This window comes from Homo sapiens, chromosome 7 (assembly GCF_000001405.40).
Source record: "Homo sapiens chromosome 7, GRCh38.p14 Primary Assembly".
Classification (NCBI taxonomy): Eukaryota; Metazoa; Chordata; class Mammalia; order Primates; family Hominidae; genus Homo; species Homo sapiens.
Window position 1 is genome coordinate 105,612,534 of NC_000007.14, and position 13,519 is coordinate 105,626,052.

Here is a 13,519-nt window from a genome sequence, read left to right on the forward strand (position 1 = left end):
TCTGCCCTCCATCCTGGGACCTGGCGGTGGCACCCACCAGCAGTTTAGCCTCCAGGGAGAGCCCTGTGGGTGCCAGCCCCCCTCCCTCACACCCCTGGCCATGGGGAGTCAGAACAGTGCCCTCAGCTCGAGCGAGAGGACCTGTGTCTCCCGCTCCTCTCACCTTGGCCTCGGTTTGCAGCTTGTCTGGCCCTTGGGTTCCAAACTTGCTGTTTCTCATGTGTTTGTGATTTGTGAATCCCCCTCAGGCTGTGCTCTTCATGAGGTTATAACAAGTCTCATAAGTGGTGACATAAAACATTAAAACATCTTTTAACAACTGCCTCCCATTGCTCCAAAGTCCTCAGGTCCCTAGATGGGGCTGGGCTTGGGGTTTGGTGGCCTTGATTCTGTGTAACGGTCTCTGGACACACTGCCCTGATGGGTCTAGGCTCCCGGGCAGGTTGGCCGGCCCTCTCGTCAGACCTGGCTCCCCAGAGAATCCGAGGCCAGGCCCTTCCCCACGTCTGCTCCCTCATCTCTATGCCCAACTGGCCCCCAGAGGCTGGGGCGGGGGTGGTGGTGGGCTTTCCTAAGTAGCCCCCCAGCCGGAGGAGAAGGACTAGACTCAGGGATGAGAACAGAGCTCAAGGGAAAGAAACATGTATCCTTCCCAGACTGCGCCACACTCTCTCAGCTTCCTCACCATACACACTCCTATCTGCACCATGGCATTGAACACTTCTTTGCCAGCTGGTGACAGTTGCAGTTTTTCTTTAGGAAGGAAAGAATTCTATTAGGAGGAGGTGGGGGTCGAGGCAGCCTAGGAAAGTGGGAAGGACAATCACCCGGGAGCCGGGCACAGGCGCTCCCACTCCCAGGTGGGACCCTGGGTCAGCATTTAACCTGCCTGGGCCTCAAGCTCTTCCTAAGGGGGTTCCAACAGATCAGATCAAACCTCTTAGCAACAGAACTCTTTAATGACAATGTTCTCAGAACCTCAAAAGATAAAACTGACCGATGTGGAGTGGGGAACTCAGAATCTCTCTGTGCCTCAGTTTACTCATCTGTAAAGTGATAACTGCACTCACTGCACTGGGGTGTCGTGAGGACTCAGTGAGGTAATAACCGTAAAGTGCCGAGAACAGTGTCTAGCACATAGTGAGCGTGGTATCAAGTACTTGTTCAGTAAAGTGCTCTCAAAGCAGAGGGTGAAAACTGCCTTCGGGGAAAACGAGAACAGGAATCAAGCTTGTGTTACCTGTCGGAGCCGCCCGGCTAAGCAGGGGCGCTGCCCAGCTCCCCCTGCCCCCCAGAGCCGGTGAAGGCGGTGCCAGGAGGTCCCTTACCTGCCGAGAGGAGGTGCTGTTAACGGGATCGGGCACCGGTGCGAGAAGGCTGGGCGGGTTCTTTTTGTGAACGCTATTCATACCAGGCATTTTAGTGATTTTACAGGCTTTGCTACTAGAACTCGAGTTCTTACGCTTTTTTCCTTCTGATTTGTCAAAAGAGAGGGGCAGAGAAGACACAGCATTGTGTGAGGCCAGAGAGAGGTCCCCTGCGTGGAGCGCAAGGGAGGGCACAGAGAGGGGACAGGAGTCACTGCTGCCTCCCACCGCGCCCACCTGTCTCACTATGTCCGCGGGGCCGCCGGGCAGCGAGGTCCGTCCTGAGGGCTCCAGTTTGGCACTGAGTGGGCTCACCCCATTGTTTGAGTTGTGCACAGACAGGCTGTTATAGGGAGGGGCCGCCTGATAGGAGTTCAAAGCAGAACTGGCATTCAAAACACAGTTCTTTTTGTGAGGCCCTGACAGTGGAGACGAGAGGGATGTCTGCAAGGAAGAGGAGGAGGAGGAGGAGGAGGAGGAAGTCGAAGACTGTGGCTTCCTTTTTTTGTTACTTGGAGACTCGTCGCTACGGGTGGACAGGTCTTTGACTTTTGAGGATTTGCTGGTTTTGGTTTTGGATGGCTTGTGGGATGGGGAAGGGATGACGGCTGGTATCGGGGACACGGCGGATGGGGCCTTGAAGGTTGAGTCCATGATGCTGAGGGTTGCGGCCACATGAGGGAAAGCTGTGGTGTGGGACATGAGGGCGCTCGGGTCCGGCGATGTCACGAAAGCTGCGTTTGAGAGCATGGCTGATGTCATTATGTAAGAAGAGGTGAGCCTCGAGCTGATGGGAGCTGAAGGAAGATACACAGCACTGGGGTTGCTGAAAGGCTGCAAAACGGATGCTGGAACGGGGGTGGTGATGTGGGCTGCTGGCGAGGGCAGGGGGCTATCTGCCGCAGGAGGGATCTTCCTAAACATGAGAGAAGAGTGAAAGAGAATCAGTGAGACATCGGGTTGGCATTGCTCAGGAGGCTCGATGACGTTTGAGGATCAGGGCTACAGAGGACACCCCGGCAGAACCAGACTATGGAGAATGGAGCCTTGAAGGATGGGAGAATCTGAAGCATGGCCCCTCCTTATGGCACCCCCCATTGCAACATCCAGCAACCTAATTTTCATCACGCACAGTCTTTCAGATCCTTTTCTCCAGGCTTGGCTACTGGAGAAGGCCTGATTTGGGTTCATGAATAAAAGGTCAATGTTATTTAGAATAGAAATCTCCCCAGTATTCTCCTCTCTCAACCACTGCCCCCACCCCCCAACTCTCTTTTTTTGGCAGCAATGAAGGTGGTTTTTAATGAGAAGTGATCATTTCACATGTAGGTCCTGGTTGCAAGTAAGAAATGTGAGGACAGGGCTTTGCTACCTGGACACAGGGGCCGGAGCTTCCCCTCTCCACCCACTCCAGCTTCTGCCCAGAGACTCTCGGGGCTTTCCCCACCCTGCTCTGGGCTGGAGGCAGTTGGGGAACGGCCCTCTCCAAGGCCAGCATCCTCTCGCCTTTGCTGTCTGCAGCCTCTGGTTCCCTCTGCAGAGAGCCATTTCCACACTGACTCGCGGCTGCTGGCTCCTGGTGGCTGGGCCGTGGAGGGTTAGGGGTTTGGGAATGGTGAGATGGCAAGTTGCCCATTCCCAGGACTAGCTTTGTTTTTTCCTATTCAGCCCATTCTACCTTAGCTCTTGCTCAGAGGAGCTGTCTGGGGTGTGGCTGCTGACCACACCCCACACGGGTCTTCTTGTCCCGTGTTAGGAAATGGTGAGTGTGGGGACCCTCATATGTCCAGAGAAGGAGATCAGGGATTTCTAGTTTGTTCTGAAGATAAATGTAGGATGTGGACAGGAGGAGAAAAACAGGAGGGAAGGGGAAACCCACTGTTTTCTTCTTTGGTCTTCTTGGAGGCTGGGGGGTACCTCAGAGCAAACTCCCTGGAGCCAAGACCAGCACTAGGCTGTGGCTTACTCTTGGGGCCTCCCTGCAAACTCCATCTTCTGATTTGCGCTGGGAGTGACTCCTCCTTCCATCCTACAGCCTGGGGTGCTGCTGCTGCTACTCTGGGGACCGGGAGGAGGCACACGGCCACAGGGACGTTTGTTCGTGATTTTGCAGGAAAGCACATGGCCCTCGGGAGCCAGGTAAATGTGTTCAAGCTGGTCCTTTCCCATTTCTCACCTTGCTCCCTCTCCCGGTTTCCCTGGGAAATCATTTTCACTGTAGCTGGGGCTCACTAGCGATTAGGAACTAGCTTTCCTTCTTTGAAAGCAGCACATGAAGGTGAGCAGGCCCAGAGCCTGTGCCCCAGTGGGCTAGAACACGTGCAAGACAGGGCCTCACACCGTCCTTTCTCTTCTTTGGAGGCCACTCTCCCAGCTGTAGCATCAGGACCAGGTGCCAGCGAACTCTGGAAAGAGGCACTGCTGAGAGATAAATGTCTCTCCTAGCGTTCCTCTCTGAAGATTCTGCTTTTGGCCTGCACTTTGGTGGAGCCTGTGGCATCCATCTTTAGGGTAGAATCCAGAGGAATCCTTGTCCTTGAAAACGTCAGACCAAAGGGATCAAATACAAGAGAAAAATGTTGCCAAACTCACAATGGCCATGATGGCATTGAGAATTTACATTCTCTCAAGCCTAAAGAAGGTAAGAGATCCTGTAAGCACTCAGCAAGGTGCCCCATAAATACTTGTTGCAATGAATGAATGAGTGAATGAATGGATGGATGAATGGGTAGGTGGATGGGTGAGCAGGTGGATTCTCAGCAGCACCATACCCATATTGTCAGGAACTATGCATGGTGGGCAAGGACTCCCATATGATCAGACTGGAAATGTCTACACACATCCTTAGAACTGTCTGGCCCTGCACAACCCCTTCCTAACAGGGGCAGGGAACATTTCTTAGAGGGGGAGGAACCTCCCAACTTTCCTGCTGCTTTTGTTGCCTTGCTGTGGTACTATAGGCAACCCACTCCATCTTTCCTTGACTCAAGTTTGCTTACACTAAAGTATAGATAGAAATACATGTGGGCAGAGGTTTGGCAGTTACTTGGAATAAAAAGTTATTTACAAATACCAGATGGCTCATTTAGAGAGGATCCCAATCAATGACTTTGAATGGGATCCATTTTTTCCATTTTTTTTTTTTAGATGGAGTCTTGCTCTGTTCCCCAGGCTGGAGTGCAGTGGTGTGATCTCAGTTCACTGCAGGCTCCGCCTCCCGGGTTCACGCCATTCTGCTGCCTCAGCCTCCTGAGTAGCTGGGACTACAGGCACCCGCCACCAGGCCCGGATAAATTTTTGTTTTTAGTAGAGACGGGGTTTCACCGTGTTAGCCAGGATGGTCTCGATCTCCTAACATCGTGATCTGCCTGCCTCGGCCTCCCAAAGTGCTGGGATTACAGGCATGAGCCACTGCACCCGGCCTGAATGGGATCCATTTTTAATGTCTCAATTTATAATTTTCCAATTAAATAGTATAAATTCACACTTCAACTTGTGCTGACTAGCAGAGTTGAAGCCCTAAATCTTAACCTGGCTGACACTCAGGATTGGGATGGGTGCTATTTTTAGGCACGCTTTCTATCCTTTTCTTGCCTCACTACTCACAAGTGGATAGCAGGGGCAGGAGGGGAGATAGGGCAGGGGAGAAATAGGGTGAGGGGCATGTGGCAGCTCCCTGTCCCCAGGAGTCCCTTCCCCGCCAAGGCTAAACAGTTTATGTGTTTTTCTAGGTGTCAAATGGCAGTGGATTTCAGCTTTGCTGGGCTGTGCCCTGGTTTAAGCTTTGCACACTGGCCCAGGGAAGTCCCACACTAAAGCCCACAGATGCGAATAAATTACTGACAGTGCCCAACCTCCCCTGCCAGGTGGCATGGAGGTCCAGATGCTGACCTGGCTGAAAGAGAATACTGTGTTGGCGGCTCCTGATGCAGAGTTAAATGCTTGTTAAAGAAAAAAGAGTCTTGGCCGTTCCTTTTCTTCCTAATGTCTTCCACGCCCCCATCGGCTGCCATCCCTCCAGGTTCGGGCCCGCCGGGGCCTGGGGTTTGGGCAGCGAGGTTGAGAGGGTAGCGGGGTGCTACGCTCTCCAGAGTTGACACCCAGGCAGCCCCAATGTTGCTCAGTGACAGCAGATTGGTTAGGCAAGTCCTGAACAGGGGGGAGGGACCTGATGCCCTGTGGCTCGGGTTTCTGTGCCTGAGGAGGAAAGGAATATGGAGCTTGAGCTGACAGGACACCAGGGAGTGAAATACAGATCAACACATTCCTTCCACGTGTCCGGGATTGACACTTCCATAACACAGGGAGCAAAGAGCTGCGAGGATCACCAGGGCTGGCTGCCGTCTTGGGGAACAAGAGCAGAGGCTCAATCACCAAGTAACTGAGAGCACAGTCACCCCACGTGTAGCACCAATTTGTTGCTGTTTGGAATGGACACAAGTAAATATCAAGGGTGCCCTTTACACACACTGGGCAGTCACTTAAATGGGAAGAAATGATAAGCTTCTCTTGTGGCCCTTACCTACCTTATAGTAAATGTTAACATTTAGTACTAAGTCTGCCATGAGAGCTCAATTCAGACACAAATGGGGCTCACTTCTCCTAGAAGTTCAGGTCTGGAAGCTCTTTAGGCTTCCAGAAAGGGGCCTAAGGTGTCGTAGCTGCCTGGGGGAGAGGAGGAATCCTGGAAGAGGGGCAAATTTTGACTTCTGTTCCCTCCCGTTTCTTAGGAATCCCTTCCTTGCCTCTACTGGACCTCAGTGGGCAGCTGGGGGGCCTCAGCTGTTGTCCTTCCTGGACTGTCTAGGCCCAGATTTATGTGATCCATGACTCCAATGGATGATGATATCTTGAGAGCTCACCTTTGTAGGAGTGGGGGATGGGGATACCCAGTGGGCCGGCCTTACATTATCAAGCGGCCTATTATTTCTTACCAATAGCATTCTTCCAGATTAAGGCTTCTTCCCTGTTTATGAATCCCCTATTAAAATGTAAGTACACTGGGAAGTGGATAGTAAAGGAACTTAAGAGAAAGGGAACCTAAGTTGGAGTTTAGGGTAGAGAAGTACAAGTAGAGGTGGGTGGGGAGTCCTAAGGAGGCGGGAAGGGCCAAAGACAAACTTAACCAACTTCACAGCATTGCTCAGGATCTGCCCTGTTGGCAAGTGTACAGATGTTTTCACAGGACAGCAAACAACTAGAAATTAGCAATTGGTCCACAACCATAATGAAATCTTTAGTTTTTTTTTTTTTTTTTTTTTTTTTGAGACGGAGTCTCCCTCTGTCACCCAGGGTGGAGTGCAGTGGTATGATCTCAGCTCACTGCAAACTCTGCCTTCCGGGTTCAAGCGATTCTCCTGCCTTAGCCTCCTGAGTAGCTGGGATTACAGGTGTGCGCCACCACACCCAGCTAATTTTTGTATTTTTAGTAGAGACGGGGGTTTCACTATGTTGGCCAGGCTGGTCTTGGACTCCTGATCTCAGTTGATCCGCTCGCCTCAGCCTCACAAAGTGCCAGGATTATAGGCGTGAGCCACCGTGCCTGGCTGAAATCTTTAGTTTTGATATTGTAGTATTAACATCACAAACAGAAGCATATATATATATATATATATATATATATATATATATTTTTTTTTTTTTTTTTTTTTTTTTTTTTTTTTTTTTAAGAGAGAGGGTCTTGCTCCATTGCTCAGGCTGAGTGCAGTGGCACAATCATAGCTCACTGTGACCTTGAACTCTTGGCCTGAAGCGATCCTCCCACCCCAGGCCTTTCAAGTAGCTAGGATCATAAGTGTGTGTCATTACACCCAGCTAATTTTTAAAAATTATTTTTTGTAGAGATGGGGGTCTTGCTATATTGCCCAGGCTGATCGCAAACTCCTGGCCTCAAGCAATCCTCCTGCTTTGGCCTCCCAAGCGCTGGGATTACAGGCGTGAATCACTGCACTCAGCCAGAAGCATGTTCTTAACATCCTTAGATTCTCTAGGAGCAATAAAAAGGCCCTTTAACTTAGGTAAACAGACAATATATTATCTAACATCCTTCTCATTTAGGAGATTACCAACACAAAAATGGTCTCCAAAAAAGACAAAGCATGTAACACATCATTCGTGTTTCTCAAAACCTTCAGGCAAACCATTAAGAAGAGCTGGTATTTAAGAATTAATCAAGCATCCTGACTTCAGAATCATTTTGTTCTATGAAAAGTCAGCCACTGACATTTATTTAGAAAGTTAAGTTTCAGGTAACTGTGGGGCAGCTTGGATCTTATATTGCACAAAAGCTGCTCACTTACTTCCACATCTGTGAATTCAGGTGTTTTTCTACCATGGAGTTTAGTGCGAATCGAAAACGATCCCATCTTCTATCAAACACATAGTACCCTCGTCCCATGAGGCGACTCCCAAATGAGCAAAACTGTGAGGAAAAAAAAATTTTAATTTTGATTACAGGTTAATAAGCTAATATAAACTATACAGAGAAAAATAACATTTACATAAAAACATACAAGGGCACAGTTTTACTCAAAGAAGCAAACCGTACTGAAGCCAAAAATACTTCTGCAGTTCTGTAGTTTGAGCTCTGGATTTTCTGCAGAACCTCATATTACAACTCAACAATAGCTACATTCAATTTTCTGTGGCACAGAAGGGGCTACGTTTTCTACTTCTGGGATTGAGCCAGCATTTTTGGTTAAGAAACAAATAATGCCAGGCACAGTGGCTCATGCCTATATTGCCAGCACTTTGGGAGGCTGAGGTGGGCGGATCACTTGAGGTCAGGAGTTTGAGACCAGTCTGGCCAACATGGTGAAGCCCCGTTTCTACTAAAAATACAAAAATTAGCCAGGCATGGTGGCACGTGCCTGGGATCCCAGCTCGTAGGGAGGCTGAGGCAGGGGAATAGCTTGAACCTGGGAGGTGGAGGTTGCAGTGAGCTGAGACTGTGCCACTGCACTCCAGCCTGGGTGACAGGCTGAGACTGTCTCAGAGAAAAAAAAAAAAAAGAAACAACAACCAACACCCAGGGTGACTTTTCAGGACCATCTGTTTGTCCTATTATCAGCCACATTTTCTCAAGGAACTTGGTGGTTCCCTGCTTCTCATGATAGTAATGGAAACTGCTTGTGCTGGTGTCCCAGGTCCCACCTTTCCTATCTGATGTCAACAGAGCCACTTTGCTTCCAGCCAGGCTAAATGCCTTCGTTTCCCAGTCTCGACCACATTTCTGCCTCCAATCAGTCTTTGTAGGCTGTCCTGGGACACAGCACCACCTTGAAGCTTTTGCTCCTGCTGTTCCTTCTCCCTGTTGTCTCCTTCCTTCTTCTTTTTGTCAATCCCAATTTCCCCCTCTCTCTCCTGGTTCCCTTATCAAGACTCTCATTTCCAGTGGCTCTCATCTGAGTGATCTTCCCACTGTGAATTCCCATGGCACACCCATTGCCTGCTTTATTACATTTTGCCTTGGACTTATGACATGGCTGTTTTACGTTATACACAGGATGCCTACATACCTGATTCGACTATCAGTGTATAGACAGGGGAGCCCATCCTCTTCCTTCTCCTTAGTATGAGGATAGTAGGCATTTGGGCTAACAAATAGATGGGGGAGACAGGGATCCACAAAATGTTTAAAGCACACTATCTCTCTTAAAATATGTGGATGAAATATTGGCATTCAGATGTTTAATAAACATTTGATTATGATGTTAGGGCAACCGGAAGGCTAGCAGACAGAAATGCAAGAAGCAGCCTCAGAGAAGGTGACATTTGGCTGGTTTAGGGCTCAGGCAAGTCTGCAAATGACTCTATAACTCAAAAGCAGCTCTCCCCCTTCCTCCAGGCCTCCCAGCAGCTCCCTGGCCTCTCTCCCAGACACAGGGCTGGATTGGCACTCATTCCACAAACCCGTCCTGGAACCAGACTTTGGAACAACAGTTCTCAGGAGGAAATGCAAGACCTTCCCTTTGTTCTGTTTCTATTGGTGTTTTGGGGGGTTTCGCATTAAAATCTTATCACCCATCAAATCTGGTACTGCTGATGAAAAACACTTTTCTGCACCTTCATGTTAAGTGCTTACTGACCAAGCAAGAAAACACACAAAGGGAATTTTCCGACATAGAAGCTGGTCCCCGGCAGCATGTGGGAGCTGTTCCAGGTCTAGACATCATTTCTTCCCTCATCCCAATTGCTAAAGATGCACCGAGCAAGCATTCATTACAAACAATGATTTAATGTATCAACTGGCCATGAGAGAAAGGACAAAGCAAAGACACAAATCTGTGGCCTTTCCATTTAAATCAGCAAAACATTAAGGGCACACAGCTGCGCCACATCCCGAGTTTAGCGAATCCACTGCAGCCTGGCAGGTTGTCATCTGGACAAATGTCTTGATGTGCTCCAGAGTCTGGCCTTCTGGCAGAGCCTCATATTTCTTTCAGACTCAGGAGCTGGAGGCACCGTTTTGTCTTTGCTACCTGTGTATCTGATTCCGTACAGATGCGAGGCTAGGCCCTGAGAGGCTCCAGTTCCCGGCTGGCATGTTACGCCTCCAGCAGAGCTGTAGATCCTCACTGCGTGGGCCACCGTGGCAGACCCTACTGGTTGCCAACCTCACCAACTACCACCCACTCCCACCTCTCTCTGTCTTTTCCTTGCTAACAGAACCACACTTTTATTCTGATATCTGACACAGAGCAGTAATCAAGTGGGTCTCCTCCCAGAACCTTGGGATGAATCATGGCTGGTTCCTCCTGCGTCACTGCAACCCCTTCCTTCTCTGCTGCGAATTGATCCGGCGGGGGCATGTGACCCATTTCTGGTAGATATAAGGGGAAGTCTGCTGGGGTTTTCATAGGAAGATTTTCTTTCCTAACATAAGGCAACATCTTGGAAGAAGACCCCTTTTCTGTTTGTCCCTTTCCAACCTGAGTAGCACACCACTGGGTGAGGATGTAATATCGGAGCAGCAGCTGACGTACAGGGACCATGCGTGAAAAGTAGAGGGAATTGCAGAGATTGTCCCTCGGCTCCATGACATCGTGGAGAAGCTGAACCAAGCTTGGGAGCACCTGCCTCTACACGCCCTGCTACGTGAGATGATTAAATGACCTTAGCGCTTGTGCCAGATGAGTTGAATGTTCCACTTCTGGCAGTCAAAGGCATTCTTAATCGTCCCTATTTTCTGTACTAAACAAGAGGCAAAGTCTCAGGCTGATGGTGAGCCACAGGTAAGCATTATCCCCAGGAAAGGAAGTGAACTTGGCCTTCGTTCATGACATGGATAGGAGGGAAGAGGGATTCACTCGATCTTGATGCGGGACCAGGATGGATTTCACTTACACAGTCTAGAGACAGAGCTGATCCTGCAGGACTCAGGCTGGCACCAGAGTAAACCACCATGGGGTCCCATGTTCTAGGCCCCTGCATTTGGCTCTGCAATGGCAGCACCAGGCATTCCCTCCTCAAGTGCTCGTACGCAAACAATAAACAAGCCTCCAGGGGATGCCTCCTGTGAGGTGGGAAACTAAGGTCCCACCTCAGTGTCAATGACCTTCTGAACTGTCAGTGTGCACTCATTCAAGGAAATGGAAAGAAAGTGCCCTTCTTACTAATCAGCAATCATGGTGACCTGAAATGCTTCCTCTTTCCTTCAACACACACACACGCTCAGTTCTGGTGCCATATGGTCACACAACAGTAACACTTAGAACCAACAGGGGAGAATACCAACAAGGGCTGGCCCCTGACACGCTGCTAAGACAGTTTCCAGAGTAGGTGAACCGAGCTAACCCTGGACATCAGAGGCTCCGTTTTTAGATGGACAAGGCCAGAGGGTCAGCTCCTGAGTGCACTTACAGAAACACTATTTCTCACGCGTGCTCGCTTCAAAGCGGGCCATAAATACTCGGGATTATCCATTTTTTCCCCTTTTTTCTTTTTAGTAGTATGTGGAAGTACTTGGGATTATAATAAGCTGGGAGCCCATTCCTTTCCTTTTGTAATGTTCAAGGGTATTTCTAAGGCAATCATTCAAACTCATGGTAAGCCTTTTTGTAAAACACTGCGCAGGCAGCCTTGCCTTAGGAAGGATCATGCCTCTGGTATGATCACCTAAGTGTCTGCAAAGCACAGGCGAAGAACGCATGGCAAGGAACGGAAGGAGGCCTACCGCCAGAGGTCTGGGGTGGTGCGTGGAGAACTGACAGTCTAGCTTCTCGGATTCGTCGGCTCCGTCCATCTCCCCTTCATCACTGGACAGTCGGCTGGCGAGGTCACCTCCAACCGGTGGGAGTGGGGGCTCTGGAGTGTGGCCGCTATGATTTGAAGATGTGCTGCTGCTTATGCTATTTGCAGATGATGGTCTAAGGGCAAGAGCGGAGAACAAACAAAATAAACCAAATGAACCTTTTCTGAGGTAACAAGATCCACCCAGTTTAATGGTGCTCAGAAAACAGCCTGATTAAGGCCAGGTTCGGTGGCTCACGCCTGTAATCCCGGCACTTTGGGAGGCCAAGGCGGGCAGATGACGAGGTCAGGAGATCGAGACCATCCTGGCCAACATGGTGAAACCCCGTCTCTACTAAAATACAAAAAATTAGCTGGGCATGGTGGCGCGTGCCTGTAGTCCCAGCTACTCAGGAGGCTGAGGCAGGGGAATTGCTTGAACCCGGGAGGTGGAGGTTGCAGTGAGCCGAGATCATGCCACTGCACTCCAGCCTGGGCGACAGAGCAAGACTCTGTCTCAAAAAAAAAAAAAAAAACAGCCTGATTAGCCTTGCCAGTACCTCAGGGAGGGCACATTGGTGGTGACTTTGCATAAGGGAAAACAATCAAGGCTGAAGGGTTTGCAGTGACCAGCTCTCTCCAGTGACACAGTCAAGTTAGGTTCTGCCCCACTTGTTGTCCCTGGCGCAGATGACAGGAATGATGGGAAAGCCCAACAGTGTAAGTGGAACATGAGATATGGGAACGTGACAAAGTGAACTGAACCTACACCAGTCTTCTATGAATTCAGTTACAACTATTCACCCATTTGCAGGTAAGTAAGTTGTACTTGCCATACAGTTGCTTTCCTTTGAAAGTGGAACCTGACAGGAAGATCAACCAGGTAAACAAGATCAGGGCAATCACCAAAAATATCAGTAATGAAGAAATGCAGTCCTATGCATACGTTCTTTGATACAAAGCTATGATTTTAGGAAACTGTTATACTGGCATGAAAAAAAGTTTTGTCCTGGTGATGGGCCACTCATTAGTACCTTACTCGGCACCCATGCCTGTTACTTAATATTAAGTTGTAGTTTAATTGTATTTTCTGAGGATGAGTGTTTCAATTTACATTTATTTATTTATTTGTTTGTTTACGAAACACTCTCACTCTGTCGCCCAGGCTGGAGTACAGTGGTGTGATCTCGGCTCACTGCAACCTCTGCCTCCCAGGTTGAAGCAATTCTCCTGCCTCAGCCTCCCGAGTAGCTGGGATTACAGGCGCACACCACCATGCCTGGCTAATTTTTGTATTTTTAGTGGAGACAGGGTTTCACCATGTTGGCCAGGCTGGTCTTGAACTCCTGACCTCAGGTGATCTGCCCACCTCAGCCTCCCAAAGTGCTGGGATTACAGGTGTGAGCCACCGTGCCCAGCTTCAATTTACTTTTTGACAAGCCCTTTTACGCACTGTGGGGCATGATTGGCTCATAGTAGGTGCTAAAGAGATATTTTTTTCAATGAACCAATGAATGAATTCTATGTGTGTATAAAACAACCCAACACATGTCATCTTAATTATGGTTAAGCTTATAAAAAAGCAATGTCACAATAAGAGGTAGAACTACCTGCTTCCTAGGCAGTAAAAAACAAAACAACACAAGGCAAAACCAAAATCAAACACATCCGCATTAGCAGAAGAGTTAGATGAGGAATAGTCACAGTTAACTGTTACTAGCTTTTACTACTTCTCCACTTTCATCAGGTGATTGAGCAGGGAGAGGTGACAAAGATAGGGAGAAAAAGAAGTTTTAGAGAAAAAAATTGTTTTTCTGCTTTCTGCTTTGAAAGCTGCTCCTTCAAGTCTCATGAAGCAGCACTGCTGATCTGTCTCCCTTTTCTCTTATTTTCACCCTGGATACTTTGTTGCTTTGAAATCT

The 13,519-nt window shown here is 49.0% G+C and overlaps 1 protein-coding gene across 4 annotated transcripts in view, besides 2 other annotated features; it reads right to left on the bottom strand.

The window, feature by feature from the left end:
• ATXN7L1 (ataxin 7 like 1) overlaps window positions 1–13,519 on the bottom strand; it is a 271,828-nt gene that overhangs the window by 7,762 nt on the left and 250,547 nt on the right. For 3 of the 4 annotated variants that reach the window (NM_020725.2, NM_001385596.1, NM_138495.2), the window contains 3 exons: window positions 11,542–11,734; window positions 7,667–7,788; window positions 1,329–2,283 (listed from right to left, as the gene is read on the bottom strand). In NM_020725.2, coding sequence (NP_065776.1) covers window positions 1,329–2,283; window positions 7,667–7,788; window positions 11,542–11,734 — 1,270 coding nt within the window. Of the gene's footprint in view, window positions 1–940; window positions 2,284–7,666; window positions 7,789–11,541; window positions 11,735–13,519 lie in introns of those variants that run through there. The other variant, NM_001318229.2, reaches the window with a different exon arrangement.
• Window positions 2,927–3,428: an enhancer, noted in NCBI's record as "H3K27ac hESC enhancer chr7:105255907-105256408 (GRCh37/hg19 assembly coordinates)". NCBI's record gives its function as "activates a minimal SCP1, AML or CMV promoter by ChIP-STARR-seq in primed H9 embryonic stem cells {active_cell/tissue: H9 hESC(primed)}" and the evidence as "EXISTENCE:reporter gene assay evidence [ECO:0000049][PMID:30033119]".
• Window positions 3,429–3,928: an enhancer, noted in NCBI's record as "H3K27ac hESC enhancer chr7:105256409-105256908 (GRCh37/hg19 assembly coordinates)". NCBI's record gives its function as "activates a minimal SCP1, AML or CMV promoter by ChIP-STARR-seq in primed H9 embryonic stem cells {active_cell/tissue: H9 hESC(primed)}" and the evidence as "EXISTENCE:reporter gene assay evidence [ECO:0000049][PMID:30033119]".